At 44.5% G+C, this 27,040-nt stretch overlaps 2 protein-coding genes and 1 long non-coding RNA gene across 15 annotated transcripts in view, besides 15 other annotated features; 2 read left to right on the forward strand and 1 right to left on the reverse strand.

The window, feature by feature from the left end:
- IDI2-AS1 (IDI2 antisense RNA 1) overlaps positions 1–14,258 on the forward strand; it is a 21,565-nt gene extending 7,307 nt beyond the window's left edge. Inside the window, exons 2-5 of one of the 4 annotated variants that reach the window (NR_027709.1) lie at positions 5,347–5,563; positions 5,871–6,033; positions 6,846–6,950; positions 13,586–14,258. This is a non-coding gene — a long non-coding RNA (IDI2 antisense RNA 1). The remainder of the gene's footprint in view (positions 1–5,346; positions 5,564–5,870; positions 6,034–6,845; positions 6,951–13,585) is intronic. The other 3 variants (NR_027708.1, NR_024628.1, NR_024629.1) reach the window with 3 other exon arrangements.
- Positions 6,151–6,200: an enhancer, noted in NCBI's record as "active region_2893". NCBI's record gives its function as "activates an Ori minimal core promoter by ATAC-STARR-seq in GM12878 lymphoblastoid cells {active_cell/tissue: GM12878}" and the evidence as "EXISTENCE:reporter gene assay evidence [ECO:0000049][PMID:35858748]".
- Positions 6,211–6,420: an enhancer, noted in NCBI's record as "active region_2894". NCBI's record gives its function as "activates an Ori minimal core promoter by ATAC-STARR-seq in GM12878 lymphoblastoid cells {active_cell/tissue: GM12878}" and the evidence as "EXISTENCE:reporter gene assay evidence [ECO:0000049][PMID:35858748]".
- On the reverse strand, positions 9,209–26,761 carry IDI1 (isopentenyl-diphosphate delta isomerase 1). Of its 10 annotated transcripts, NM_001317955.2 has the most exons (6): positions 26,366–26,761; positions 24,225–24,302; positions 14,056–14,228; positions 13,358–13,450; positions 12,689–12,819; positions 9,209–11,561 (listed from the first exon to the last, which is right to left on the reverse strand). In NM_001317955.2, exons 3-6 carry the CDS (start codon positions 14,198–14,200, stop codon positions 11,244–11,246), a joined length of 687 nt encoding a protein of 228 aa, NP_001304884.1. In that variant the 5' UTR covers positions 14,201–14,228; positions 24,225–24,302; positions 26,366–26,761; the 3' UTR covers positions 9,209–11,243. The 10 variants fall into 10 exon arrangements, 8 of the variants coding, with proteins under 8 accessions (NP_001304884.1, XP_047281132.1, XP_024303747.1 ...); XM_047425176.1 differs by lacking the exon at positions 24,225–24,302; XM_024447979.2 differs by lacking the exon at positions 14,056–14,228.
- Positions 13,078–14,277: an enhancer, noted in NCBI's record as "BRD4-independent group 4 enhancer chr10:1088961-1090160 (GRCh37/hg19 assembly coordinates)". NCBI's record gives its function as "activates an origin of replication core promoter dependent on BRD2, P300/CBP, MED14 and CDK7 cofactors, and independent of BRD4, by STARR-seq in HCT116 cells {active_cell/tissue: HCT116}" and the evidence as "EXISTENCE:reporter gene assay evidence [ECO:0000049][PMID:35650434]".
- Positions 18,423–18,953: an enhancer, noted in NCBI's record as "NANOG-H3K27ac-H3K4me1 hESC enhancer chr10:1094306-1094836 (GRCh37/hg19 assembly coordinates)". NCBI's record gives its function as "activates a minimal SCP1, AML or CMV promoter by ChIP-STARR-seq in primed H9 embryonic stem cells {active_cell/tissue: H9 hESC(primed)}" and the evidence as "EXISTENCE:reporter gene assay evidence [ECO:0000049][PMID:30033119]".
- Positions 18,423–19,483: a biological region, named in NCBI's record as "NANOG-H3K27ac-H3K4me1 hESC enhancers GRCh37_chr10:1094306-1094836 and GRCh37_chr10:1094837-1095366".
- Positions 18,765–18,854: a silencer, noted in NCBI's record as "silent region_2064". NCBI's record gives its function as "represses an Ori minimal core promoter by ATAC-STARR-seq in GM12878 lymphoblastoid cells {active_cell/tissue: GM12878}" and the evidence as "EXISTENCE:reporter gene assay evidence [ECO:0000049][PMID:35858748]".
- Positions 18,865–19,084: a silencer, noted in NCBI's record as "silent region_2065". NCBI's record gives its function as "represses an Ori minimal core promoter by ATAC-STARR-seq in GM12878 lymphoblastoid cells {active_cell/tissue: GM12878}" and the evidence as "EXISTENCE:reporter gene assay evidence [ECO:0000049][PMID:35858748]".
- Positions 18,954–19,483: an enhancer, noted in NCBI's record as "NANOG-H3K27ac-H3K4me1 hESC enhancer chr10:1094837-1095366 (GRCh37/hg19 assembly coordinates)". NCBI's record gives its function as "activates a minimal SCP1, AML or CMV promoter by ChIP-STARR-seq in naive and primed H9 embryonic stem cells {active_cell/tissue: H9 hESC(naive and primed)}" and the evidence as "EXISTENCE:reporter gene assay evidence [ECO:0000049][PMID:30033119]".
- Positions 19,175–19,224: an enhancer, noted in NCBI's record as "active region_2895". NCBI's record gives its function as "activates an Ori minimal core promoter by ATAC-STARR-seq in GM12878 lymphoblastoid cells {active_cell/tissue: GM12878}" and the evidence as "EXISTENCE:reporter gene assay evidence [ECO:0000049][PMID:35858748]".
- Positions 19,484–20,013: an enhancer, noted in NCBI's record as "NANOG-H3K27ac-H3K4me1 hESC enhancer chr10:1095367-1095896 (GRCh37/hg19 assembly coordinates)". NCBI's record gives its function as "activates a minimal SCP1, AML or CMV promoter by ChIP-STARR-seq in naive H9 embryonic stem cells {active_cell/tissue: H9 hESC(naive)}" and the evidence as "EXISTENCE:reporter gene assay evidence [ECO:0000049][PMID:30033119]".
- Positions 19,685–19,824: an enhancer, noted in NCBI's record as "active region_2896". NCBI's record gives its function as "activates an Ori minimal core promoter by ATAC-STARR-seq in GM12878 lymphoblastoid cells {active_cell/tissue: GM12878}" and the evidence as "EXISTENCE:reporter gene assay evidence [ECO:0000049][PMID:35858748]".
- Positions 25,920–25,979: a silencer, noted in NCBI's record as "silent region_2066". NCBI's record gives its function as "represses an Ori minimal core promoter by ATAC-STARR-seq in GM12878 lymphoblastoid cells {active_cell/tissue: GM12878}" and the evidence as "EXISTENCE:reporter gene assay evidence [ECO:0000049][PMID:35858748]".
- Positions 26,090–26,139: an enhancer, noted in NCBI's record as "active region_2897". NCBI's record gives its function as "activates an Ori minimal core promoter by ATAC-STARR-seq in GM12878 lymphoblastoid cells {active_cell/tissue: GM12878}" and the evidence as "EXISTENCE:reporter gene assay evidence [ECO:0000049][PMID:35858748]".
- Positions 26,410–26,839: a silencer, noted in NCBI's record as "silent region_2067". NCBI's record gives its function as "represses an Ori minimal core promoter by ATAC-STARR-seq in GM12878 lymphoblastoid cells {active_cell/tissue: GM12878}" and the evidence as "EXISTENCE:reporter gene assay evidence [ECO:0000049][PMID:35858748]".
- Positions 26,442–27,040, forward strand: part of WDR37 (WD repeat domain 37) — a 75,988-nt gene continuing 75,389 nt past the window's right edge. The window contains exon 1 of the mRNA NM_014023.4: positions 26,442–27,025. The gene's annotated coding sequence lies outside the window, so the exon portion shown is untranslated. The remainder of the gene's footprint in view (positions 27,026–27,040) is intronic.
- Positions 26,940–26,999: an enhancer, noted in NCBI's record as "active region_2898". NCBI's record gives its function as "activates an Ori minimal core promoter by ATAC-STARR-seq in GM12878 lymphoblastoid cells {active_cell/tissue: GM12878}" and the evidence as "EXISTENCE:reporter gene assay evidence [ECO:0000049][PMID:35858748]".

Genomic DNA, 27,040 nt, shown 5'->3' on the forward strand with positions numbered 1-27,040 from the left:
TACACCTGAATGAAAAGTTCCATTTGCATCAAAAATACATTCGTATACTCTTAAGGCAGTGTCCGGCGCAGCGGCTCACGCCTGTAATCCTAGCACTTTGGGAGGCTGAGGCGGGTGGATTACTTGGGCCCAGGCATCCAGCCTGGACAACAATGGCAAGAGCCATCTCTACAAAAAATACAAAAACTTAGCCAGGCATGGTGGTGTGCACCTGTAGTCCCAGCTACTCTGGAGGCTGAGATGGGAGAATCGCCTGAGCCTCAGAGGTCAAGGCTGCAGTGAGCTGGGATTGAGCCACTGTACTCCAGCCTGGATTACATATATTTGTATATTCCTAAGGCACATAATGGACCTAGGTCACCAAAACTAAAAGATATTCTAGACCAAAATTTTGAATGTAATTTAATAACCTTGTACAAACCCTCTACAGCTGCACATTACCAAAGCTAGTATCACTGTACCTAGTGGCTTACTGCCTCATTCAATTGAAAAGATCAAACTAATTCAATCCTGCTCTCCAAAGAACACTTTTTCTGAATGGGCTCTCAGACTTTTCCTGAATGGGCTCTCAGATTCTGCTTTCCTAAGAAAGTGTGTTGAGGTAGTTCTTTTTCTGAATGGGCTCTCAGATTCTGCTCTCCTAAGAAAGAGTGTTGAGGTAGTTCTTTTTCTGAATGGGCTCTCAGATTCTGCTTTCCTAAGAAAGTGTGTTGAGCTGTAGTTCTACAGCATTGTTCAATGCAAAGATAGGGTTGGCTGTAGGTTTTCAGAAGGTGACCTTTATCAGGTTGAAGAAGTTCCCTTCTCGTCTTACTTTCTTGAGATTTTATCATGAATTGATGTTGAGTTTTGTCAAATGTTTTTTCTGCATTTCTACTGAAATGAGTCTTGTGTGGTCTTTTCCCCTTTATTCTAGCAATATGGTGTATCATATTAATTGATTTTCAGATGTTAAACTAGCCTTGCTTTCTTGAAATAAATCCCACTTGGGCATGGAGAATATTCTTTTTATATGTTGCTGGTTTCTGTTAATATTTTAAGATTTTTGTATCTGGATTCGTGATTGATAATAGTTATTCTTGTAATATCTATTATAAATAGTTACTGTGTGGCTTGGCCAAATACTGGAGGAGGTGAATTGTATGGATTCAGTAGCAAATTGCAGATTCATTTGAGAGGGCTGCTGTCATCAGCCTTAAGATATCAATCACACTGGGCGCAGTGGCTCACACCTGTAATCCCAGCACTTTGGGTGGCCGAGGTGGGTGGATCACAAGGTCAGGAGTTCAAGACCAGCCTGGCCAACATGGTGAAACCACATCTCTACTAAAAATACAAAAATTAGCCAGGCATGGTGGCAGGCACCTGTAATCCCAGCTACTCGGGAGGCTGAGGCAGAGAATTGCTTGAACTGAGGAGGTGGAGGTTGCAGTGAGCTGAGATCGTGCCATTACACTCCAGCCTGGGCAACAGAGCAAGACAATGACTCAAAAAAAAAAAATATCAATCACATATGTGTCATTTTACTTATTACTGAACATTTCTCAATAGAAATCTTTTTGCTATATTTGAGATATCCCGTTTTCTTCTGCATATGCTTTTGGGAGGTAGGATAACTAAAAATATTATATATAAAATATAAAATAACAATATATAAAATAACTAATATGATAACTAATATAACTATATATAGCTATATATACCTACATATAACTGCAATATAACCATAATATATAAAATAATTAATATAACATATAGATTAGTTATAAAATAATATATATAAAACTAATAAAATAACACCAATATATAAAAAATATAAAATAACTAAAATACATTGGTATAGTTTCTTGTAATAACCAAAAGAAAGTGTTCCTTTTTCCTCTATTTCTTGGAAGTGCTTATGAAGGACTGGTAATATTTCTTATTTTTTATTATTTTTGAGACAGAGTTTCGCTCTTGTTGTCCAGGCTGGAGTGCAATGGCGCGATCTCGGCTCACTGCAACCTCCGCCTCCCAGTTTCAAGTGATTCTCCTGCCTCAGCCTCCTGGGTAGCTGGAATTACAGGCGTGTGCCACCACACCCGGCTAATTTTGTATTTTTAGTAGAGACGGGGTTTCACCGTGTTGGTCAGGCTGGTCTTGAACTCCTGACCTCAGGTGATCCGCCCGCTTCAGCCTCCTGAAGTGTTGGGATTACAGGCGTGAGCCACCATGCTCGGCCAATACTTCTTCTTTAAATGTTTGGTAGAACTCACTAGTGAGGCCACTGGGCCTTGTCTTTTCTTCATGGGAAGATTTTAATTACTATGCCTTAGCTGGGTAATACAAAGATGTACCTGCATTATTTCGGATTTTCATCATTTGTGCATTCTCTCTGTTCTTCTTGATCATTCTAGTTAATGGCTTTTTCCAACTTTGTTGCTCCTTTTTTTTTTTTTTTTTTTTTTTGAGACAGTCTCACTCTGTTGCCCAGGGTGAAGTGCAGTGGTGCGATCTTGGCTCACCGCAACCTCTGCCTCCCGGGTTCAAGCAATTCTTGTCCCTCAGCCCCCTCCCCCTGCCTGTCCCTCCTTCCTCCTGCTGAGTAGCTGCGATTACAGGCACACACCACCATGCCCGGCTAATTTTTGTAGAGATGGGGTTTCACCATGTCACCCAGGCTGCTCTCAAACTCCTAGCCTCAAGTGATCTGCCAATCTTGGCCTCCCAAAGTGCTGGGATCACTAGAAGCTTTTCAATTTTTTTATTCCAAAGCAATCTGATGCAGTTTTTGCTATATTTGAGATATCTCATTTTCTTCTGCATATGCTATTGGGAGATAGGAAAGATTTTGGAAAATGTGTAAGAAAAAGGAAGATACTAAAAACATACTAAGATTGTATGTAGGGAAAGGTTACAACTCTAACTTTGATAATGTGCATTAAATCGACAAATCCTTGAAAAGCACAGCTCGATAAATCCAACAAAAGGAGAAAAAGAACATGTGAAGAGTTGAATATATGTGAAAGAAATGTAAGTTCATTTTTCTTTTTTTTTTTGAGATGGAGTCTCGCTCTGTCGCCCAGGCTGGAGTGCAGTGGGGCGATCTCGGCTCACTGCAAGCTCCGCCTCCCGGGTTCACGCCATTCTCCTGCCTCAGCCTCCCGAGTAGCTGGGACTACAGGCGCCTGACACTCCGCCTGGCTAAATTTTTGTATTTTTTAGTAGAGACGGGGTTTCACCGTGTTAGCCAGGATGGTCTCGATCTCCTGACCTTGTGATCTGCCCGCCTCGGCCTCCCAAAGTGCTGGGATTACAGGCGTGAGCCGCCGCACCCGGTCGTAAGTTCATTATTAAAATGGGCCCCATATCCACGTGAATAGGGGTCAGTCTCAGACTTAGCTTTAATTTTCAGCCATGAGAAGACTACTGCTCTTCCTCCAACACTCACTTCTCTATTTTCTCTATCGTTTGATCCTGTCTCCTGTACAACTGGGTGGTATTTAACCATGTTTAGGCTCAGGTATAACCCAAGCTCTGAAACTGTAATAGAAAATTAAGTAAATGAAAGGCAAAAAATGAAAGACTTAATAAGGTTTAAGCTGTTATTCATCTAGGAGGCTGAATAACAATACATATACATGTTTTTGTTGTTTATGTGTATATATTTTTTATGAATAGAGTTGTTCCTATTATGTTGTATCTTGTAATAATTACTAATGACAAGGTTCATAAATAGCTAGATGTTAACATAACTGGCCAAACTCCAGTGACAAGGGCCCTGTTACAATCAGTAGGACCAACCTGCTAAGACCTGAGCTCAGAGCTCAGGGATGGCCAAGGTCAAGGCCCAGTGGTTGTGACGAGATGCCAGGAAACCTTACCCACTGCATGCCTGTGTTGTGCCATGGTGCTGTAAGTAGTCTCTTTGGGTACACTGCCAGTAGGCTTTTGGCATACATGTATGGGCTAGTATTTTCAGGCCAAAAAACTATCCCTGTCTCATTGTTTACTATTTTTGTGCAGCAATTTGGTTTTACTGTTGGTTCTTACTCTGGTCTTGCCCCAAGTTCAATACTTTGGTTCTTCTCTTCTCCCTAAACTTTCCCTGTCCTGATTCCCTGAGAACAATTCCCTTTTCTCTGAATTGGGATCCTATTTCTACCCCTTGCATACATACCCCTCCTAATTCTTCTGGGTAAATTTCTATGCCCATTAACTCTAGACATACATTTGTAAATTACTGAGACCCTAAATTGAGAATTATGTTTGCCATTACTTTTAAAAGTGTAATCTGAATCCCAGCACTTTGGGAGGCCGAGGCGGGCGGATCACGAGGTCAGGAGATCCAGACCATCCAGACTAACACGGTGAAACCCCGTCTCTACTAAAAATACAAAAAAATTAGCCGGGCGTGGTGGCGGGCGCCTGTAGTCCCAGCTACTCAGAGGCTGAGGCAGGAGAATGGCGTGAACCCGGGAGGCGGAGCTTGCAGTGAGCCGAGATCGCACCACTGGACTCCAGCCTGGGCGAAGGAGCGAGACTCCGTCTCAAAAAAAAAAAAAAAAGTGTAATCTGTTTTTTTGCCTCCTGAAATCACTTATGTATAAACACATTAAAGTGGGTCACCGTGTCACGTCTTGGGCTTCCTGGGACAAGAATCAAATGGCACATGCCTGGCCAAAGTGCTCAGATCAATCTGCAAACCATGGTCACAGAGCCAGTCACAGAGTCTTACGGCTTTCATTGTAGCTTCTCTGTGGAATATCTTCAAGGACATGTGTGTGCTTTAGGATGTTCACGTGTCATGATTAAGTTGTAAATTTCAAAAATTCTAAGAATGCCTATTGTTGGCCAGAAGTATAAAAATTGGAAAGATTTTAATAAAATCATCTTTCAATCTTACTTAAATAGGTCTATGAAGTCTGCATCTCTTCCTCTGGAAAGTAACGTAAGGGCTGTGAAGAACATTGTCCATAATGAAACTGAGAAGGGCTGTTCTCCCTGGGAACAGAAAGGTCACTGTCTTTGCTCAACAAACAGCCTAAAGCCAGGAACGCAGGCCTCCCCAGGCCTCTTGGCCGCCTCTCAAGCTTCCTCAATAAAAAATTCACATGGAAGACATTCTAGTCTATCTTCTCTTCCTTCTTTCTTCCCTTTAGCTAATAATTATTGAGTGCTGATTATGTTCTGGACACAGTTCTAGAATTTCTGTGATAAGAAACAGAGACCCCAGCAGTGATTCTCTGCTGGGGCCGATGGCTCTCAGGGACATCCTTCAAAACAGGGCCCATTTGGTTCTTTAAAAAAAATAATGTCCAGTTTCTCTAAAAATTCTGTCATGACTTTTATTTCTTTGATGTTAAGCTTTGTGTCTTAGGTTTCAGCGTGCTGACGTTCTCTGGGCCCTGAAGTCACTGCTGCTGGCTGGTGTGCTGGCCACTTGGTCGTGCTGGCCTGTCTCCCACCGGGTGGATGCCCAGCGAGCTCTGGATGCTGTGTATGACAAAGACATGGGGGTTGTTTGGAGTCTGTGATGTGCTATTGTCCTCCACATAATGGTTTTCTGCAAGAAACTAGAGAAGTAACTATCTCAGATTTCCCTAATAAAAACAGGTTTTGAGCCAATTCCAGGCTGGCCCTAAATTCCTCTTCCTAGCACGTGAAGCCTGGGAAGCTCTCCGTGGGCCTTGCCCTCGCAGCTCTCACCCCTGGTCTCTGCTCCCCCATTCCTGTCTGGCTATTGGAAGCACCTCTCCATTGCCCAGCCTCTCTGCTCATTTACTGGAACTGGGCAATGCCCCTTGGGAAAAGCAGCACAGGTTTTCTTCTCCTAGATTTTGCCCTATGCTTCTTTTCAGAGCTATTTGGTCTCTGACATTCTCTCTCAGGTTTTTCCAGCGCTCTTGGGAGGTGGGCTGTGCCACTGCCTGGCCCACCTGGCCCACCTGGCCCACCATTACCTGAAGGGAAGCATGAACAGCCTTTGACGTGGGAGTGGCGACTGCTGAGAGGGAACTGTCTGTACACAAGCAATGTAGCCTTATGGGACCTGTGAGTATATGCTTAAGTTTTTTTTGTGTTTTTTTTTTTTGGTTGAGATGGAGTCTCGCTCTGTCACCCAGGCTGGAGTGCAGTGGCACGATCTCGGCTCACTGCAAGCTCCGTCTCCTGGATTCACACACCATTCTCCTGCCTCAGCCTCCCGAGTAGCTGGGACTACAGGCACCTACCACTGCGCCCTGCTAATTTTTGTATTTTTACTAGAGATGGGGTTTCCCCATGTTGGCCAGGCTGGTCTCAAAACTCCTGACCTCGTGATCCGCCCGCCTCGACCTCCCAAAGTGCTGGGATTACAGGCGTGAGCCACTGCGCCCGGCCAATGCTTAAGTTTTTATTCATAATTTACTCAAAGTCACTGAGCTCTGACTTCATGCTGGTGATTCAGATTTGAGTCCTGGGAAGATCATCTGAGATGACGTTTAAGCCAAGGGTTTAAATGAGTCATATTCAGCCAGGTGCAGACTAAGGCAGTGCAGGTTCCAGGCAGAAGGGAAAGCACGTGGACACGCTGAGATGCAGGCAAGGCCTCACAGCCAGAGCTGGCTTGTCACCTGGCGTGGGAACACCTTTCCTCTTCAGACTCTGTGTGTTCCTTTTAATCTGCGTCAGGGCATGTGATTGAGCAGCACGTGACCAACCCCACTGCGGCATCTGTCCCCCGTGGGGTGGGGGTGGGGACAGAGTTCTTTTCCTACAGCATAAGTGTGTCATGTCAACCAACGCCGTGTCAGCTGCCTGCAGGGGCCCACGGGCATGGGGACCCGACGTACACCGTGGGAGCTGACCTTTCTTTCTTCTCTCAGGAGTGGAGCCCCAACCCACGCAGGGCGTGTCTTCATGGCTTTTCCTGGCCAATCTGATACCAAGATGCAGTGGCCAGAAGTACCTGCACTTCCACTCCTGTCAAGGTGAGATGCCACTTGCTCTCCACTGATTCTCTATCAGTGCTGAGCTCTGTTCTCTAGAGCTCACGGATTCTATATTGTGTTAAGCTGTCACTTAAAAGTGCACAAATTGTTTCAATCAATCCTAACATATTCACCCATGTAATTAACACCCTATCAACATAGAGAACACTTCGAAAATCACAAGGCTCCCTGCGCCCCCTGGAAGTAGCTTCTATTCTTGCCTACATCTTAATTGGTTTCGCCTGTTTTTGACCTTTATTTCACTGGAATCACGTATGCCTTTTGTATCCGGCTTCTTCCACTCAAGATTGGGTCTGTGGATTTACTCACACTGCTGTGTATAGCAGGACTGCTCCCGCGGCATGGCAGCATCCGATTGTGCAGACACCAAGGCTGATGTAACCACTGCAGATGTTCTGCAGGGGCGTCCCTGGGATAGAGACTGGACATGTAGCAAAGAGCTCCGTGAGCGTGAGCGAGGCAAGCCCTGAACCCACACTGTATCACCTACTTATAGGGCAGTGCATAAAAATCTGGGAAACACCTTGTTTCTCAAAGTAACAACGAATATGTCAGTGACTTCCCAGCCCAAGAATATGCTGCATTCGTTCGCTGCTTAGTTAGTAAAATGGCAACAAAAGAAGGCAGAACCACGCACATTTGTCTCCTGCCAGGTCTGACTCGTTTGACTTTAGTAGATAGTGGCCAACAGCTTCATGGTAGCAGGCATGCTCAGAAGCAGTTACTTTATATTCCGTCAACACTTGGTGATGTTGGTCTTTTAAATTCGGGTTTCAATTTGCACCTACCCTGTGATTAATGAGGTTAAGCTTCTTTTCATGTTTAACACCCAAATTTTAATAGACTTTATTCTTTCGACCAGTTCAGGTTCACAGCAAAATTGGGTGGAAGGTAGACAGTTTCCATAAACCCCCAGCCCCTCCACACACACAGACTCCCCCACTATCTACATCCTCATCGGAGTGGTCCATTTGTTACAGCCGATAGACGTACGTCAACACATCATTATCACCTGGAGTCCAGTTTACATGAGGCTTGCTCTTGGTGTTGGACAAATGCATAATGACCTATATCCACCAATTCAGTACCATGCAGAAGAGTTTCACTGCCCTAAAAATCCTGTGCCCTGCCCACTCATTCCTCCCTCCCGTCACCCCTGGCTTTTTACTGTTTCCAGTTTTCCTTTACTGGAATGTTGGAGAACTGGACTCCTTCAGGATGTAGCCTTTCATGCTTCTTTCAGCAACATGCACCTAACTTTCCTCCCTGTCTTTGTGGCTTGATAGCTCATTTCTTTTTAGTGCCAAATAACATCCTACTGTCTGGATATATCAGTTTACTTATGCATTCACCTATATGCATATAAAATAGAGGAGAGAATGCGGTGTTGGAGATTTACGTTTGGGAGTCTAAACCATGTATGGTAAATAAGTATAATGTGTGAAAATTGTAAAGCAGAAAGCTGTCAGGATACCTGAATACACACAAATACACACTTCAGTTCATGCTATAAAATGTTATAAAATGTGTAAGTACATACTTAGGGCTGAAAAAGCACCCAGAGAGGAAGGGTGAAGAAGAGGTGTATCTGAAATAATAAAAAGAAAATCTGTCAAGAGGGGATCTAGAGTACCTCATCCCATGAGGAACTCCCAACCCTAGTGAGGGTCCAACGGACAGATCCAAGTGAGAGGATGAAACCACTGCACAAGCACCCCCTAAGGGGCAGGTGGAGGGCAGTTCCCACAGGGACCCACTTCGGGTACAACCTGGGCTTGTCCCCAGGGAGCAGGTGGAGGGCAGTTCCCACAGGGACGCACTGCGGGTACGACCTGGACGTGTCCCCAGGGAGCAGGTGGAGGGCAGTTCCCACAGGGACGCACTGCGGGTACGACCTGGACGTGTCCCCAGGGAGCAGGTGGAGGGCAGTTCCCACAGGGACGCACTGCGGGTACGACCTGGACGTGTCCCCAGGGAGCAGGTGGAGGGCAGTTCCCACAGGGACGCACTGCGGGTACGACCTGGACTTGTCCCCATGGAGCAGGTGGAGGGCAGGTCCCACAGGGACGCACTGCGGGTACGACCTGGACTTGTCCCCAGGGAGCAGGTGGAGGGCAGTTCCCACAGGGACGCACTGCGGGTACGACCTGGACTTGTCCCCAGGGAGCAGGTGGAGGGCAGTTCCCACAGGGACGCACTGCGGGTACGACCTGGACTTGTCCCCAGGGAGCAGGTGGAGGGCAGTTCCCACAGGGACGCACTGCGGGTACGACCTGGACGTGTCCCCAGGGAGCAGGTGGAGGGCAGTTCCCACAGGGATGCACTGCGGGTACGACCTGGACTTGTCCCCAGGTGCCAGGGCCAAGTAAGAAGAAAATGTGCCTTCCTTCCTATTATACCATTTTCTGTTTTGGTCTTGTTCTCTTGATAATATAGGTAGGGAAACAGAATCAGCAATTATTAGAAGGCCACCTCTACTTTGTCCTTAAAGGAGTTGGCAATGGTTTGACCAGAATCAAAGAAGTATATATTTTGAAGATTAAGAGTTTAAAACAGTTTAAGAAAAAAAAAATTTATAGGTACCATTTAGCTTTCTAGTTGAAAACCAACACATCTGCCTTTGGGGTCAGAAGCAGCTATATCTAGGAGAGGGATACTCCTCTTTATAAAAGATGAAGGAGTTCTAAGGAGTTTATCAGGTCAAAAGACATTCCTTACATTTTCTGGATGGCATCCTAGTAATATTACAACAGTAGTATCTAACTCTTGCTAAGTACTTAACAAGGTGCTGGGTAGCAGTCTAAGGGTCCCATGTCCAATTCAGTAGCCATGGCAACTCATAGTTATCACATAACTAATTATATGTGGCTTTCAGCCTAAAACTTCCTAGAAAATAAAACTAAAAAAATTAGAAACAATATTATAAATGCAACGGAAACTATACAGGCAATATCCTATTAGTGTATCAAAATTTTAACAAACTAAACACAGTATTAAATTGCAATTTTTTTTACTTTTCAATAAAATACTTGCTAAACAGTCTTGTCTGAAATTATAAATTGCCCAAAGTTAACCATAAATGAGTCATTCTATTGAATTTAACAAACATTTAACTTTGCAAGAAATAAATTTTTATTTTTCTTCATTATCATACAGCATTTAAGAATAATAAATCTGTCTTGAGGTTTCAAATCTGAGATATCTATGGCAAGTTTATAAAAAGTACATTGATCAAGGTACAATTTTTAACATTAATATACACATTCCATAATCTCATCTATTTAACATTAACACAGGCCTTTGTTGTTGTTATTTTTTTCTCCCTACAATATTTCCTGACTCTGTAGGACAGTGGTCCTCAGTTGGGGGTTGACTCTGTCCCCTAGGGGCATCTGGCAACATCCGGCATAACTGTGGGTGTCACATGAGAGGGACGCTGCTCACCATCCTGCAATGCACAGCACAGACCCCACCACAGGGGTTTTATCCAGCCCAAATGTCAACAGTGTCAAGTTTAAGCAACTCTTACCGAGTGGGACTCAATTCCCATTTTATGAACACCTCTGTGCTCACTGTAATTCTGAAAACACAGACTTTGCTAACTGGTAAATACTATTTACAAGAAGATTCAACCTAATCAATATCACTTATCAAAAGCAGTGGCTGACTGTAAGTATCAACATGTTTCCAGAATGAATAAACCACACAATCAACTCAGAATGATACAAATTAGGGTCCATATCATTTAATTTCCCTTGAACCTGCTCTGCTAGTTTAATCTGCTAATATGAAAGTTAATTAAGACTGTTTTGAAGGAGCGAGACAATAGTTTCCTTTGCACATTTTTCTGAACTATGAGAAAAATTTAATGATACATAAAGCACCTGGCAAATAGCAAGTCCTCTGCAAGTGCTCCGGAAATGTTTATCACAGCCTACTAAAAACAGAGTTTCACTCATTTGTTCAAATTTCCCATAAGTATGTATCTGCAAAGATTAAATTAAGTTTTATTTGCTCGCTCTCATTTTACAATAATCTCTCACAAATGTCGCTTAGAAACAGAACACATATCCAGGGTGTGTGATACAAAATTATAAGTTAGTTTTTTCCACACAAGTTTTAAAGTATCAGTGTATATAATACATTAATGATAGTACCAAATGATAGAACTAAATTTAATGATAAATTAATGATAGAACTAAATTTAAAAGGAAAAAGTCATTCTAAGTTTGTTAAGCAGATAAATTTTTCTGTAATCATTTACCTACATATTCACATTCTGTATATTTTCTCATGGTCAACAAACTGATTCAAATGATTTAAGTTATCCCACCATTTAAAGAGAAAAGTCGCTGCAATAATTTTAAACCATGGCGTTATCTTAATTTCACCACTGGCTGCTTTTTTCAGAAGTTCTTTTAGTTCTTCCTTTGACACATAACAATAGCTTTTAATCTCATTGGGATCTGGATTCAAAGTTACATTCTTCCTCACCAACAAAATGTAATCAATTTCATGTTCACCCCAGATACCATCAGACTGAGCTTTGTAGTGAATTCGTGTTAAATAATTAATTTCTTCTGGAGGAACCTAAGACATTAAAAAAAAAAAAGTAATTAAAACATCGGCCACCGTAACAAAAAAAATCTAAAATTAGCTCACTGTATTACAGCGATATCTCGAACAGCAGTATAGTTTTAGGATTAGAACTTGGTTAAAGCATTAATCTCCTATCAATGGTATATGGAAATCTTAATATTATATATGGAAAAATGATTACATCATTAGTTTCAAGTGTTTGCGTTTTTTTCCCGATCAGATAAGTTTTTTTTTTTTTAATGTTAAAAAAAGGGGCAGTCACTCAAACTAGAAATGTGACATTCTTCTTTTTCTTCTTTTTTTTTTTTTTGTGAGACGGAGTCTTGCTGTCACCCAAGCTGGAGTGCAATGGTGTGATCTCAGCTCACTGCAACCTCCGCCTCCCAGGTTCAAGCGATTCTCCTGCCTCAGCCTCCTGAGTAGCTGGGATTACAGACGTGCCGCCCCACCATGCCCAGCTAGTTTTTGTATTTTTAGTAGAGACGGAGTTTCACCATGTTGGTCAGGCTGGTCTCGAACTCCTGACCTCGTGATCCACCTGCCTCAGCCTCCCAAAGTGCTGGGATTACAGGCGTGAGCCACCACGACCGGCCCGACATTTTTCTTTTTCATATTTTAAAATTGCTTTTTGGAAAATATAGATAAGAAATACTTTATTTATCCAGGTCTTATTTAAGGGGGACAATTCCAAGAAAAAAAATGATTTCAATTAAACCAATGAGATTTATGGTTCATATTCCTAAGAGTTTCCATCAGAAAATCTTCACCTTTTTTGTAGGTGGGGAGTTTTAGGTGAGAACTGGAAAACCTGTCAGTTAAATTCTACAAGAGCTGTAACACTTGAAAATACTCATCTTAGATTTGATCAATTATAGAAATATTCAACCTTATATAGTGCTTAACAGATCAATCCATCCCCGTATTGAGCTAAGTTTTGACAAGTGATATTAAGAAATTAAAATTTAAATAATCTTTATTCAAGATGGTTTGTGGGGCTAACTCATAACTCCGGAGGTTACCAAGCAGAGAACTACATTTGAATTTAAAAATTTTATTAAAAACCTTTTTATAGTATGTTTAGGTTTCAGCTTGTATGGTTGTGTAGGAGAGCTGGTTACCTCTTCCAAGGGAATTCCTAGCTCAGCTTTCAGCCGTCTCTGTGCTGCTCGCCTCACTCCAAGGGCGTCACTTTCCTCAAGCTCGGCTGGATTGCTTAATGGATGACTACAACACGTATTCGTAAAACAACCTGGAAAATGGTAATACAGAGACAGATCAACTTTTCTTCAAAGTAGGTCTGAAAGATCAAGAAAAAGTTTTATAAGTAACTGAAAAATGAAATGATTTTTAAGGATTTTAAAATCAGTTATAATGGGCTATCAGTAATTATTTTAAGGATTTTAAAATTGGTTATAATGGGCTATCAGTAATTATTTTAAGGATTTTAAAATTGGTTATAATGGGCTATCAGTAATTATGTTGTGAAACAGACTACATTTGTAGGTAGGTTCCTTATTAATACTTCTTTAACCAAAAAAGATCAAAGTGTAGATAATACAGATTAAAGATAAATATGTAAATTATACATATTGCCCAATTGCTTACTAGTTCTTATTTTTTCTTGCTGTTGTATTAGGTTGCACTCATTGTGTAAACTCACTTTATGCAGAATATAAAATTATGCCATTCACAGGATTTCCCTTTGTGACCTTGGCTCCAAGAATTCAGAATGATAAAAAGTCAAATTAATGTACAAACACAATATTGTACATTAAAAGTGTACTAACCTGGAAAGGTAATCTTAGCATCTGATCTTTGCTGTAGCAGAAGCTTATTTTCGGTGTTGAATAAGAAGACACTAAAAGCTCGATGCAATAATCCTGAAAGCAAAAGAAATAACAATTATTTTAGCCTTAAGTACCAGTTATTTGCCAAATTCTCTCCCTGCAGTTCAGAATAACATTAGTAACTTGCTGCTGCTTTTGCTTTTTCCCATGGTTTATCCACATGCATAGTCTCTGCATGGCTATGGTGAGGAAGAGCTCTGCACTGGGCAAGGAAGTTGGCCGTCGAGTGAAGGAAATGGTGATGCTGGTGGCCCCTTTCCGGCAGTCAAGTTCCCTATCAAGGACATTCAGTTCTCGGAAAGTGGTGAAGGCACATGCTTCCCTGCATGGTGCCCGCCTCTCTCCACTCTCTAGAAATATTAGAGGCTAGGCTGCTGCTGTATGTCAGGGCTAGTCCCTCTTCTATGAATCCAGAATAACTCTGAAGAAGCCGAGTAACAGGCATGAAGTGAAGAGAAATCGCTGTAACAGGAAGACAGCAAAGCAGATGCTAATGACCACACTATTTAACGAACTGGAACCAACGAGAAAATACGGTATTACTGAAGACTGCACTTCCTTGAACAGAGTGCTCTTCTCAGCAAATCGGAAATGCCTACACAAATCGCTTTACAAGAAAGACTGTTTCAAAGCAGCACCTTTCTCAATGTTCTCGTTCAGGTGACAATTCTTCTTGGTCTCAGCTCCAATTTTATTGTCATTTTCATCAATAAGGATACACATCTCTGCCAGGAGTTGAACCTGTTGCTTGTCGAGGTGGTTAGTGTTTATTTCAGGCATCATTACAAAATGTCTGATCTGTTCTAGAACACTAATATTAAAGGAAAAGAGAAAGAAAGGCCATCATATATTTTTCTGAATGTCATATAAACACAGGTTAATAATGATGCTGCTTCCCCATCTGCAGTTGTACCACTCTGCATCCCCACAGGGACCCCAAGAACGCTGCCAGCCGGCTGCTCAGCACTATCTGGGTCATCATTTCTCCTACAGGTTTCACAGCTGGCCTTTTATCACAGTCATGCTCCTGAAGGCCAAGCTCAACGTTCCGCTCTAAATTCTTGACCTCTGAGATCCTCTGCAGCACTTGATACTCAATCCTTTTTCCAGTGTACTTTTCTTCTCTGGTTTTTGGCCCCAACCTAACTTTTCATCCTGCTTTTCTACACCAGCTTCTGTAATCTCTAGAATGTGCTCCCATTGCCATCCTGAATTGTTTTTCCCACTGCCTGTCTCTGCATAGTTGCTCAAGATTGCCACAGGCCAATCTTGGTTGAAATCCATTTTTTCAAGGCACAACTCGTGCCAGACATTCAATAACCTTTCTACCAATGTCACAGTAAGACTTAATCCAGTTTTTCTCAACCCAAGCTCCTGGGTTATCAGAAAAATTATTTGTATGAGTTTTGTCAATTTCCCCCAGGACAGTACTTAGCTGATATCATTCTAGATAAACAGGAGAAGACTTAATTCGTTATATTCAATAGATGCTTTAAGGCAGTGCTTGGCAAGTTTTTTCTGTGAAGGGCCAGAGAGTATGAACTCTGCCTCTGTAACACTAAAATAGTCACAGGCAATAGGTGAACTGGGCAGTATGTAAACTGAGTGTGGGTGCATGCCAATATTTATGGACACTGAATTACATTTAATTTTCATGTGTCACAAAATATTTTGATTCTTCTCCATCCGTTTAAATATGAGAAAAACACTCAGCTCACAGGACGTAACAACAGGCAGCAGGCCAGATTTGGCCTATAGGCCATAGTTGGCCCATTCCTACCTTAGTGCATCAAACATTAATTTTCTGAACCCCCATTTATCCCTCCCATGTGATTACAACGTAAAGCACTTATTAGGGTACTTTCAGTATTCTGACTCACACTTTTACATATCTGTATCCAGCAGCGTCTAAGCTTTCTAATCTTTGTATCCTTCAGGGCACCTTTACATAGTCTGACCTTGAAGTTTTTTATTCCCTTTTTTCTTCTCCTTTATTTCTGAATGAATAATAATTTTTGTTTTCTGATTTTTCTACCCAATATATTTTGAAGATCCCATGTGCTCTACTTTCTATGTGACTCTATTTCAAATACATAGATTTTACTGAAATACTTTTTTGTTTCTGAGAGGGAGTCTCGTTTTGTTGCCCAGGCTGGAATGCAATGGTGCAATCTCAGCTCACTACAACCCCCACCTCCTGGGTTCAAGTGATTCTCCTGCTTTGACCTCCCAAGTAGCTGGGACTACAGGCGTGCACCACCACGCCAGGCTAATTTTTGTATTTTTAGTAGAGACGAAGTCTTGCCATGCTGGCCATGCTGATCTCGAACTCCTAACCTCAGGAGATCTGCCTGCTTTGGCCTCCCAAAGTGTTGAGATTACAGGAGTGAGCCACCACACGGGGACCACTGAAATACTTTCAACAGAGTTCAAGCATACTGCAGAATGTACACAAAGTGTTTAAACAGCTACTTAATACAAAGTTCTAGACCCACATAGGGTCTGGGTGTGTGTGTGTGTGTGTGTGTGTGTGTGAATGCGTGTGTCAGGAGTCAGTGATGATGGAGATATTGATATCTAATACAAAAAATCTGAAATAAGGTTAATGATTAAAACAAATCAAGAGGGAAAATAATGTGAAAAGGAAGTCAACTTCAGAGTTAGCCTCAATTTTAGAAAGATTTCCAACTTCTATAGGCTAGTTTTATATACAGTCATCCTTTGGTATATATGGGAGTTAGTTCCAGGACCTCCCACAGCTACCAAAATTTGAGGATGCTGAAGTTTCAGATATAAAATGGCATAATATTTGCAGATCACCTGTGTATATCCACTGTGTACATACATGTGTCACATGATGGTGTTTCGGTACACTACAGACTGCATATACTACAGTGGTTCCATAAAATTATAACAGAACTGACATATTCCTATTGCTAATGATGTTGTAGCCATTGTAACATCGGAGCACAACACATCACCTTTTCTATGTTTAGATACACAAATACTTGCTGTTGTGTTACAACTGCCCACATTATTCAGCACAGTCACACACTGTCCAAATTTAGGCCTGAAGCAACAGGAAAAACAGCCTAAGAGCAACTGGCTACACCACACAGCCCAGCTGCTCCACTGTCTGTCTACACCACACAGCCCAGCTGCTCCACTGTCTACACCACACCGCCCAGCTGCTCCACTGTCTACACCACACAGCCCAGCTGCTCCACTGTCTACACCACACAGCCCAGCTGCTCCACTGTCTACACCACACAGCCCAGCTGCTCCACTGTCTACACCACACAGCCCAGCTGCTCCACTGTCTACACCACACAGCCCAGCTGCTCCACTGTCTACACCACACAGCCCAGCTGCTCCACTGTCTACACCACACAGCCCAGCTGCTCCACTGTCTACACCACACAGCCCAGCTGCTCCACTGTCTACACCACACAGCCCAGCTGCTCCACTGTCTACACCACACAGCCCAGCTGCTCCACTGTCTGTCTACACCACACAGCCCAGCTGCTCCACTGTCTACACCACACAGCCCAGCTGCTCCACTGTCTACACCACACAGCCCAGCTGCTCCACTGTCTACACCACACAGCCCAGCTGCTCCACTGTCTACACCACACAGCCCAGCTGCTCCACTGTCTACACCACACAGCCCAGCTGCTCCACTGTCTACACCACACAGCCCAGCTGCTCCACTGTCTACACCACACAGCCCAGCTGCTCCACTGTCTACACCACACAGCCCAGCTGCTCCACTGTCTACACCACACAGCCCAGCTGCTCCACTGTCTACACCACACAGCCCAGCTGCTCCACTGTCTACACCACACAGCCCAGCTGCTCCACTGTCTACACCACACAGCCCAGCTGCTCCACTGTCTACACCACACAGCCCAGCTGCTCCACTGTCTACACCACACAGCCCAGCTGCTCCACTGTCTACACCACACAGCCCAGCTGCTCCACTGTCTACACCACACAGCCCAGCTGCTCCACTGTCTACACCACACAGCCCAGCTGCTCCACTGTCTACACCACACAGCCCAGCTGCTCCACTGTCTACACCACACAGCCCAGCTGCTCCACTGTCTACACCACACAGCCCAGCTGCTCCACTGTCTACTGTCTACACCACACAGCCCAGCTGCTCCACTGTCTACACCACACAGCCCAGCTGCTCCACTGTCTGGTCCTTTGTCTACACCACACAGCCCAGCTGCTCCACTGTCTACACCACACAGCCCAGCTGCTCCACCGTCTGTCTACACCACACAGCCCAGCTGCTCCACTGTCTAGGTCTGCGTCAGCGCACTCTGCTTCCACAATGATGAAAGTACCTAACAATGAACTTCTCCAAAGTATCCCTGTTAAGTGATGCGGGCCGAACGTTAAATTATCATCTGTAGATGATCTCTTATAGTATCTAAAACATGTAAATCCTACATAAATAGTTGTGCTGTATTGTTTACAGAATAAGTCTGTATATGTTCAGTACAGATGAAATTTTTTTCCAAATATTTTATAATGTGCAGTTGGTTAAATCCATGGATATGGACCCCAAGGATACAGTAGGCCAACTGTATATTAGGTGATCACTAAGATAGGTTTCGTTACTACATAATTACTAGACTTTTTGACATGACTTTTTTTCCGGGGGGATGGGGCTGGGTCTTGCTATGTCTGTCGCCCAAGCTGGAGTGCAGTGGCGCGATCTCGGCTCACTGCAGCCTTCGACTCCGCCTCCCAAAGTGCTGGGATTAAAGGCGTGCACCACCGCCCAGCTGTAATGACAATTGCTCTTTCAGGATTTTCAGAATTCAGATTTTAAAGCTAAGCTGCATAATCACAAGATAAAATGAATACGTCTATTTATGCGTTTAAAGAATACCATGTAGTAGACGCGGGAACACATCATCCAACCCAAGAAAAAGGTCTAGTTCCATCTATGCGATGCTCCCCATCTCTTCTCCTGCTCCATTCCCAGGAGAAGCGCCTTGAGTGTGTTGCTGTCACCCTCTTGCACGGACGCAGGTGTATGCACCCGCGTCACACGCGTGGACTCGGCACGGGGAGGCCGGTGTCGTCACGCTCGTGTTTCTGACGATGCTGTCTACGCTTGTTTCTGAATTCTCTAAGGGGAGACTCGCAACTCTTAGTCTCCTGCGACTCGGTTTCCAGTTCCACGAGTTCCTAAACCTCAGGTGACTGTGCGCAGACGACGATCTTTTCCGCTGACAAAGAATGGCAACGTCTCTGACGCCCCGACTCACGCCTCCGCCTTCCACGGGGCGCGGGCGCCCACCACAGCCCGGGAAGGCCCGGCCTCCCTCCAGTTCGGGAGACCAACGCCGCCACCCCCAGCTGTCCAGGCCTCCGCGCCGAGACCTCACGGGTGGCTCAGACCTCGGGCCTCCTCCCCGCCCCGTCCCGCAGCTCCCCGATGCCGCCCTGCCCCTGTCTCCCGAACTCCGCCGCCCGTCCACAGTACCTGATCAGCCTCCGGCCACAGACAACCGCCGGTCCCGGATGGCGCCCGCTTTGAGCACAGTCTGCGGCGCGCACCGCCCACTGGCCCCGCCCCCGGGCCGCGCAGCCAATCGCTCGCGCCAGCGCCAGTCCACGCCACATCGCCCGGCCAATTGGCGCCCGTACGCGCTTGACGACACAATCTCGCCAAGCTTCGCCTGGTGGTGCCACCTCCCTGGCCTGTGACAACGGCAGACGCGCGAAGCACCGGGAACCTGAGCCGTGACCGCGGGCTCTGGCGCCTTTAAGGGGGTCAACACGCCCCACCCCCAGTTCCGCAGAGGCAGCGTCCCGCGACTGGGCGGTGCCCGAGACCACAGACGCCGCCAGCCAATCACGCTTTCGATCCTGCCGTGCGAGCCCGAGGCGCTGCGAACGGTGCCTAACGTCAGACGTCTCGAGGCTCGCGTTCCATGGAGGAAGCCCTCCCAATCCGAAAGCGCCCGGGCGCCAAGCCCTGCAGCCGGAAGCTCGGCGTCCCATGGGAGCGACCTCCGCATGGCTGGACCAATGGAAACGGAGGAAAGGCGGGACGTCACTGCTGACTGGCTGGTTGGGCACTCCCCCCCCTCCCCCCCCCCGAGTTCCGCCGCTGGGACTACAGCGTTTGGCTGCACGGGGAGTTCTCGTATGTCTAGAACGATGGCCTTTCTGCGGTGTCTGCGACCGGGACCAAGGCGGAGCAAAGTCGCCGGGGGTGTGGGGTGTTCCACGCTATGTTGGGAGTGTTCGCTTTCGAGGTACATGACTACGTTCTAAATTTTTTTTTTTTGAGACAGTTTCATTCTTGTTGCCCAGGCTTGAGTGCAATGGTGCAGTCTCCGCTCACAGCAACCTCCGCCGCCCGGGTTCAGGCAATTGTCCCGTCTCAGCCTCCCAAGTAGCTGGAATTACAGGCATGCGCCACCACGCCCGGCTTATTTCGTATTTTTAGTAGAGACGGGTTTCCGCATGTTGGTCAGGCTGGTCTGGAACTCCTGACCTCAAGTGATCCACCTGGCTCAGCTTACCGAAGTGCTGAGATTCCGGGTGTGAGCCACCGCGCCTAGCCCTCTAAACTTTTAAATAATCGTGAAATGTATGCGCAGCTGAAGCGAATTCAGCTATTTCCTCTACCTTTTGTGTGGAATTTAAAATACTGAACTTGTGAGATGAACCTGGTGGGCACCAGTTCTCAAACTTCTTGGTCACAGGACGCTTGCACTCTCTTAAAATGTACTGAGGACACCTAAAAGCTTTTGCTCACTGTTGTTTACTACTGCTATTTACTAACATAGAAATTAAACATATTAAAATATTCACTTAAAAAACACACGACACTAACATAAGTTATATTTTTATTAAAAATCTTTTCCAGACAAAAAACAGACTTTGATTTTGTTTTATGTGTTGACAGATCTCTTTCATGTCTGGCTTCACACAGATAAGAAAATCTGGCCTCCCGCATGCGCAGCAAGTCCTCACTGCTGTCAGTGCGTTCTTGGGAATCAGGACTTTTAAGTGAAACAACGTATAGCAAAACCAATTTTACCAGAGGCTAAAAAATAAGGATTAAGTTCCTAAAGCATACTTCTGGCCAAGGAAAAAAAAAATCACTAAGCTTCTAAAGGCCAAAGTATTCTAATATTAAACATTGAAATAAATGTGAGCTATACATACATTTAAGAAAGATGAATAAAAAGATAATTATTACTTAATTATTCCAGTTCTGGGTCATGTGTAGCTGAAGCCTGTTTCAGTAGCTCAGGGCACAAAGAGGGAACCAGCCCTGGACAGGACGCCATTCCATCACAGGGCCACTCACACACCCACACTCAGACTGGGACAGTGAAGACACACCAGTTCACCTCACGTGCACACCTCTGGGATGTGGCAAGAACTGCAGCACCCAGAGAAAACCTATGCAGGTGTGGCGAGAACACGTAAACACCACAAAGACAGTGCCCCTGGCTGGGAGTCTTTTTCTCATCAATGTTACAAAGAAATGAATGAGCACCTGCTGTATGCAGTTTGAAAATTGAGAAGTATTTTTTAATAGCCTTTTCAAATTATCTTGGTTATTCTTTTTCGATACTACTACCCCAAAACACGAGTGGTGGATTTTCCAATTACTATTTGGAATTTGAAACCACTTCAATGGACATTTTGTACTTGTTACATTAAAACTCATTATTTTTGACTGTACCTCGAATGCCTATTTTCCTGTGCGTGATGTTGAAATGTCATGCATTGGTCATTTGGAAAATACTGATTTACTGAATTAAACAGATCTTCCAAATGCTAAAACATTTCATTATTCAATATCAATCACATTGTTAATATCACTAGTAATCTCATCAGAAAAGTTTTTAAGTATTGGGAAGCTAAAGTATTGTAGCACTGGCTTCCACATAAAGTCACCAAGTTCTTGATGGTTTTAAGTTTGTTTTTTATTTGAATTTTTGCATGAAAATTCCAACATTATTGGCAACAAGTACTGAGAATTATGTTCCTTGAAGTGGCACGAACATATTTATTTTCACGAAAATGTCTGCCAAATATCTAGGTTTGAATACCTCAGTTTATCTGTCAGTTCTTTCCAGTAAAAGCGGTATTTCATGAAAAAAGCAGCTAGTTAGTTCAGCTTACAACTCAAACGTTCCCACAAGTTCTTTTCCTGGAGACAACAATCATAATTCAGCATGTAGCAGAAGTGCTTTATGTGCATTTCCCATTTTGTTATAGAGAATATTAGATGAGTACTGAATGGTCGAGATGATTAAAGTTAATATTTTTTACTGCTAACCATCAGCTGAGCCTTCAATGAGTCATAATCTTTTTGCTGGTGGAGGGTTTTGCCTCAATGTTGATGGCTGTTGATCAAGGTGGTGCTTGAAAGTTGGGGTGGCTGTTGCAGTTTCTTAAAATAAGACAATAATGAAATTTGTCACGTTGATTGACAATTCTTTTCATGAAAGATTTTTTTTAAACCACAGGAAAACTTTTTTTTGAGACAGAGTCTCGTTCTTTCGCCCAGGCTGAAGTGCAGTGGTGCGATCTTGGCTCACTGTAACCTCCACCTCCTGGGTTCAAGCAATTCTCCTACCTCAGCCTCATGAGTAGCTGGCACTATGGGCGTGTGCCACCATGCCCGGCTAATTTTTGTATTATTAGTAGAGCTTGGGTTTCACCATGTTGGCCAGGCTGGTCTTGAACTCCTGACCTTGTGATCTGCCCACCTTGGCCTCTCAAAATGCTGGGATTATAGGCATGAGCCACCGCACCCGGCCAGGAAAACTTCCAAAGTTAGAGTCAATCCTCTCAAACCCTGCTGCTACTTCATAAACTAAGTCTATGGAGTATTCTGAATCCTTTGTTATCATTTCAACAGTGTTCACATCTTCACCAGGATTAGGTTCCATCTCAAGAGACCACTTTCTTTGTTCATCCACAAGAAGCAACTGCTTATCCATTCATGTTTTATTATGCTAGTGCAGTGATTCAGTTACATCTTCGGGCAGCCATAGCCTTACAAAATGTATTTCTTAAATAATGAGACTTGAAAGTCAAAATGACTTCTTGAGCTATGGGCTGCAAAAGGGATGTTGTGTTAGCAGGCATGAAATCAACATGAATCTCCTTGTATATCTCCATCAGAGCTCTTGGGTGAACAGGAGCACTGTAAATCAGCAGTAATATTTTGAAACGAAATCTTTTTTTTTTCCTGAGCAGTAGGTCTCAACAACAGTGGGCTGACAATATTTAGTAAACCACACTGTGTAAGTAGATGTGCTGTCATCTAGGCTTTGTTGTTCTATCTACACAGCAGAGGCAGACTAGAATTAGCATAACGCTTAAGGACTCTAGGATTTTCAGAATGATAAATGAGCACTGGCTTCAACATAAAGTCATCAGCTGCACTAGCCCCCTAGCAAGGGTCAGCCTGTCCTTTGGAGCTCTGAAGCCAGGCTTTGACTTCTCCTCTCTAGTTATGACAGTCCTGGGCGGCATCTTTTCCCAAAATAAGGTTGTTTCAACTCCAATGAAAACCTATTGTTTAGCAAAGCCGTCTTCATCAGTGATCTTAGGTAGATCTCCTAGATGACTTGCTGCTTTATCTTGCACTTGCACATTTTTTTTTTTGAGATGGAGTCTCACTCTGTTACCCAGGAGTGTGGTGGTGTGATCTTGGCTTACAGCAACCTCCAACTCCTGGGTTCAAGTGATCCTCCTGCCTTAGCCTCCTGAGTAGCTGGGACTACAGGCGTGTGCCACCACACCCAGTTAATTTTTGTATTTTTAGTGGAGGCAGGGTTTCACCATGTTGGCCAGGCTGGTCTTGAACTCCTCACCTCAAGGGATCCACTTGCATTGGCCTCCCAAAGTGCTGGAATTACAGGCATAAGCCACCATGCCTGGCCTATCTTGCACTTTTGTATTATAGAGACAGCTTCTTTCCTTCAACCTCATGAACCAACCTCTGATAGCTTCAGATTTTTCTTCTGTAGCTTCCTTACCTCTCTCAGCCTTCAGAAAACTGAAGAGAGTTAGGGCCTTACTCTGGATTAGGCTTTATCAGAATATTGTGGCTGGTTTAATCTATACAGACCACTCAGAGTTTCTCCATATCAGCAATAAAGCTGTTTTATTTTCTTACCATTTGTGTATTCACTGTAGGAGCACTTCAAATTTCCTTCAAGAACTTTTCCTTTGCATTCACGACTTAGCTGTTTCAACATGCCTTCCTCACCATGCTTAATCATTAATCATTTCTAGTTTTGATTTAAAGTAAGAGATGTGCAACTCATTCTTTTATGAAACAGTAGCCATTTTAGGGCTATTAATTGCCTGATTTTTTTTTTTTTTTGAGTCAGGGTCTTGCTTTGCTGCCCATGCTGAAGTGCAGTGGCGTGATCACAGCTCACTGCAGCCTCGAACTCCTAGGCTCAAGCAATCCTCCTGCTTCAGTCTCCCAAGTAGCTGGGACTACAGGCATGAGCCACCACCATGCCTGGCCCCTAATTTCAGTATTGCTGTGTCTCAAGGATAGGGAGGTCTGAGCAGAAGGAGAGAGATAGGGAGGCAGCTGGTCAGTGCAGTGGTCAGAACACATAAAACATTTATCGACTCAGTTTGCTGTCTTATATAGGGGTGGTTCATGGTGCCCCCCAAGCAATTATGACAGTAATATCAAAGATCACTAATCACAGATCACTATAACTGATTTAATAACGGAAACATTCCAAGAATTACCAAAATGTGAGAGAGACATGAAGTGAGCACATACTGTTAGAAAGATGGTGCTGACAGACTTGCTCCATGCAGGGCTGCCACAAACCTCCACTTTGTAAGAAACATATGATACCTGTGAAGTGCAATAAAGTGATACACATGAAAACAGTTGTGCCTGTTACATGACATATATACACACATATATATAACTTGAGAATTTAGGAAGCGACATGTCAAACAGCTTATAACACTATAGTGTACTATCCAAGTGTTTGAGACACAGTTAAAATAATCAGTAATGAGGACAATGACAGAATACCTAGTAAATCTTAATTCCCTATCAAACCATGCGCAAAAATGAGTCTTAGTAAATTCAGCATTGTTGCCCTATGTCAGGGACAAAGTACATGTATTTTGCATAGATGGACATGTGACAAAATAGAAATTGGTTTTCTGAGACAGGATTCTCCACAGCTTCTGCAGGAGGGAGAATGTAACTGGATACCAGGATTGCAATCATAACCTTTTATAATTTCGGCTAGTTTTGTGTCTTTTAAAAAAATTACATTGGATAGTTATTTCAGGATACAGTGTGTTATGGGTTAAATTGTGTCCCCCTTTCAAATTCATGTGTTAAAGACCTCACTTCCAGTATTTTATAATGTGACCTTATTTGGAAACAGGGTTGTTGTGGATATGATTAGTTAACATGAGGTCATATTAAAGTAGCGTCTACTGTACTCCAATATGACTGATGTCCTCATAAAAAGAACGCTAAGTGTGCAGACAGACACGGACATGGAAAACGTCATGTGAAGACTGGCGGGGGCATGCTGCCACAAGCCAAGGAATGCCTAGACGCTGAGATGCATTAACAGGCTCCCATCACAGCTCTCAGAAGGAATCAACCCTGCCAATACCTTGATTTGGGACTTCCAGTCAGACCTCTGACAATAAATTTGTTTAAGCTGCCTAGTTTGCAGTATTTTGTTCCTGCAGCCCTAGCACATCAACAGTGAAAAGAATATGGATTCTGATGCCAGCCTTTAGTCTTTGCCCTGCTGCACGATTATTTTTGACTTTTGACGAGTAATTTCCACATTCTCATGCTTAAAATTCAATTTAGAATAACTTTTACTTTATTGGATTCCTTTGGGGATTAAATTAGTTACAAAAGATGTAAAGCGACTGATCCTCAAAATGATTTCTTTCCCTTGTTTTGTGACATGTCATGCTCTCAGTTATTTTCAGTGACTTTTATGGAATCCTAAATATATCAACTTAAAAAATTACATTAGCGATATTCTTGGTGTTACCTGACTGTGGTGCGGTCCAGAAAAATAAAACCACCTGTTAGAATGCGGGTTAATTAGATGGGACACTGCGATTTACAAAGCTTTCTATTTGCTGCCATGCCCAGTACAATGTCTTTGCATACTAGGTACTAAATAAAATTATGTTACTTAAATGTCACAACCTCTAAAAGTTTAAAAAATGACTTCTCTAAAAACTCAAATATTTTTTTCCTTGGCGTTCCTCTTACAGAATTGTTTTTAGTGATAAAGTTTTATTAATATACTTAATGCAGAAATAACTTCACTTCTTTTTTTTTTTTGGTAATCTGGATCCCCTAAATAGAATGCTAAATTTGTTTCTTGTGCAACAAACAAGTTACCACTTCTGACTCTTCATCTTGAGCTTCCTTATTTTTTTTTGGAGACGGAGGCTCGCTCTGTCCCAGGCTGGAGTGCAGAGGCGCGATCTCGGCTCACTGCAACCTCCGCCTCCCGGGTTCAAGCGATTCTCCTGCCTCAGCCTTCCGAGTAGCAGGGGTTACAGGCGCGCGCCGCCACGCCCGGCTAGTTTTTGTATTTTTAGTAAAGACAGGGTTTCACCATGTTGGCCAGGCTGGTCTCGACCTCCTAATCTCGTGATACGTCGGCCTCGGCCTCCCAAAGTGTTGGGATTACAGGCGTGAGCCACCGCGCCTGGCCTTGAGCTTCCTTTTTAAAGGAAGGAGCAGGAATGTTAACCTACACAGAAAAAAAAAATGCTTTCACGCTCTTGATTTACTCTAGGTGGGCTTCAAATGCGCGGTTAGCGCTTTCTGTAGAGCGTTGAGACGGCTGTTTACGTAAAGACCATCATGCGACGTTTCCAACCTAGATTCTAAGAAAAAAGCGGCCCAAGTCCCACCTTTCGCAGGGAACAGCTGATTCTGTTTTTCCTTCCCAGCCAATGGTGATCAAAAGCTTCAGGACGCTGGTGAGTCACTGCGGAGGAGCCGAACACTGACCGCGCCGTCCCCGCCAGGCTCCCGCGCGGCCGGCACCGCGGCCCTGAGCGCAGGCGGCCCCGGGTCTCAGGCCTCAGGCGGACCGCGCCCCGGGCTCGCAGCCCTCCCGCCCCGGCTGCCGGGCTACGGGGCAGATGGACTCGGAGCGCCCCGCCGGTGAGTAGCTACGACCCCCGAGGCCACCTCCCGCGAACCGCTCGGCGGCAGGAGTACGTGACCAAGGGTGGGGGCGTTGGCCCAGCAGCCGAAGGGGTCTTCAGCGCGCCCAGACCCCTCGGGGCTGCGGGGCGGAAGCCGGGGCGTGACTTCCGGCGCCGCCGGGTGTGGGGCGGAGGTGTGGGGCGGCTTCCGGAGAACCCAGCGGCGCGGGACTGGGGCGGGACTTCCGGCGACACCGGAAGTGCATTAGCGCCAGGTTGGGGTTGTGGGGTCGCGTCAGTGCGGAGACAGCGGTGTCCTGCGCGTCTTCGGGTCAGTACGGGGGGCCGCGTCGTAGGGACTCACTGGCGGTGCGCGACCTGGGCTGGCTCCGGGGGTGGCGGGCGCAGCTGCTGTGACAGGTGAGTGCCGCCATC

This window comes from Homo sapiens, chromosome 10 (assembly GCF_000001405.40).
Source record: "Homo sapiens chromosome 10, GRCh38.p14 Primary Assembly".
NCBI lineage: Eukaryota > Metazoa > Chordata > Mammalia > Primates > Hominidae > Homo > Homo sapiens.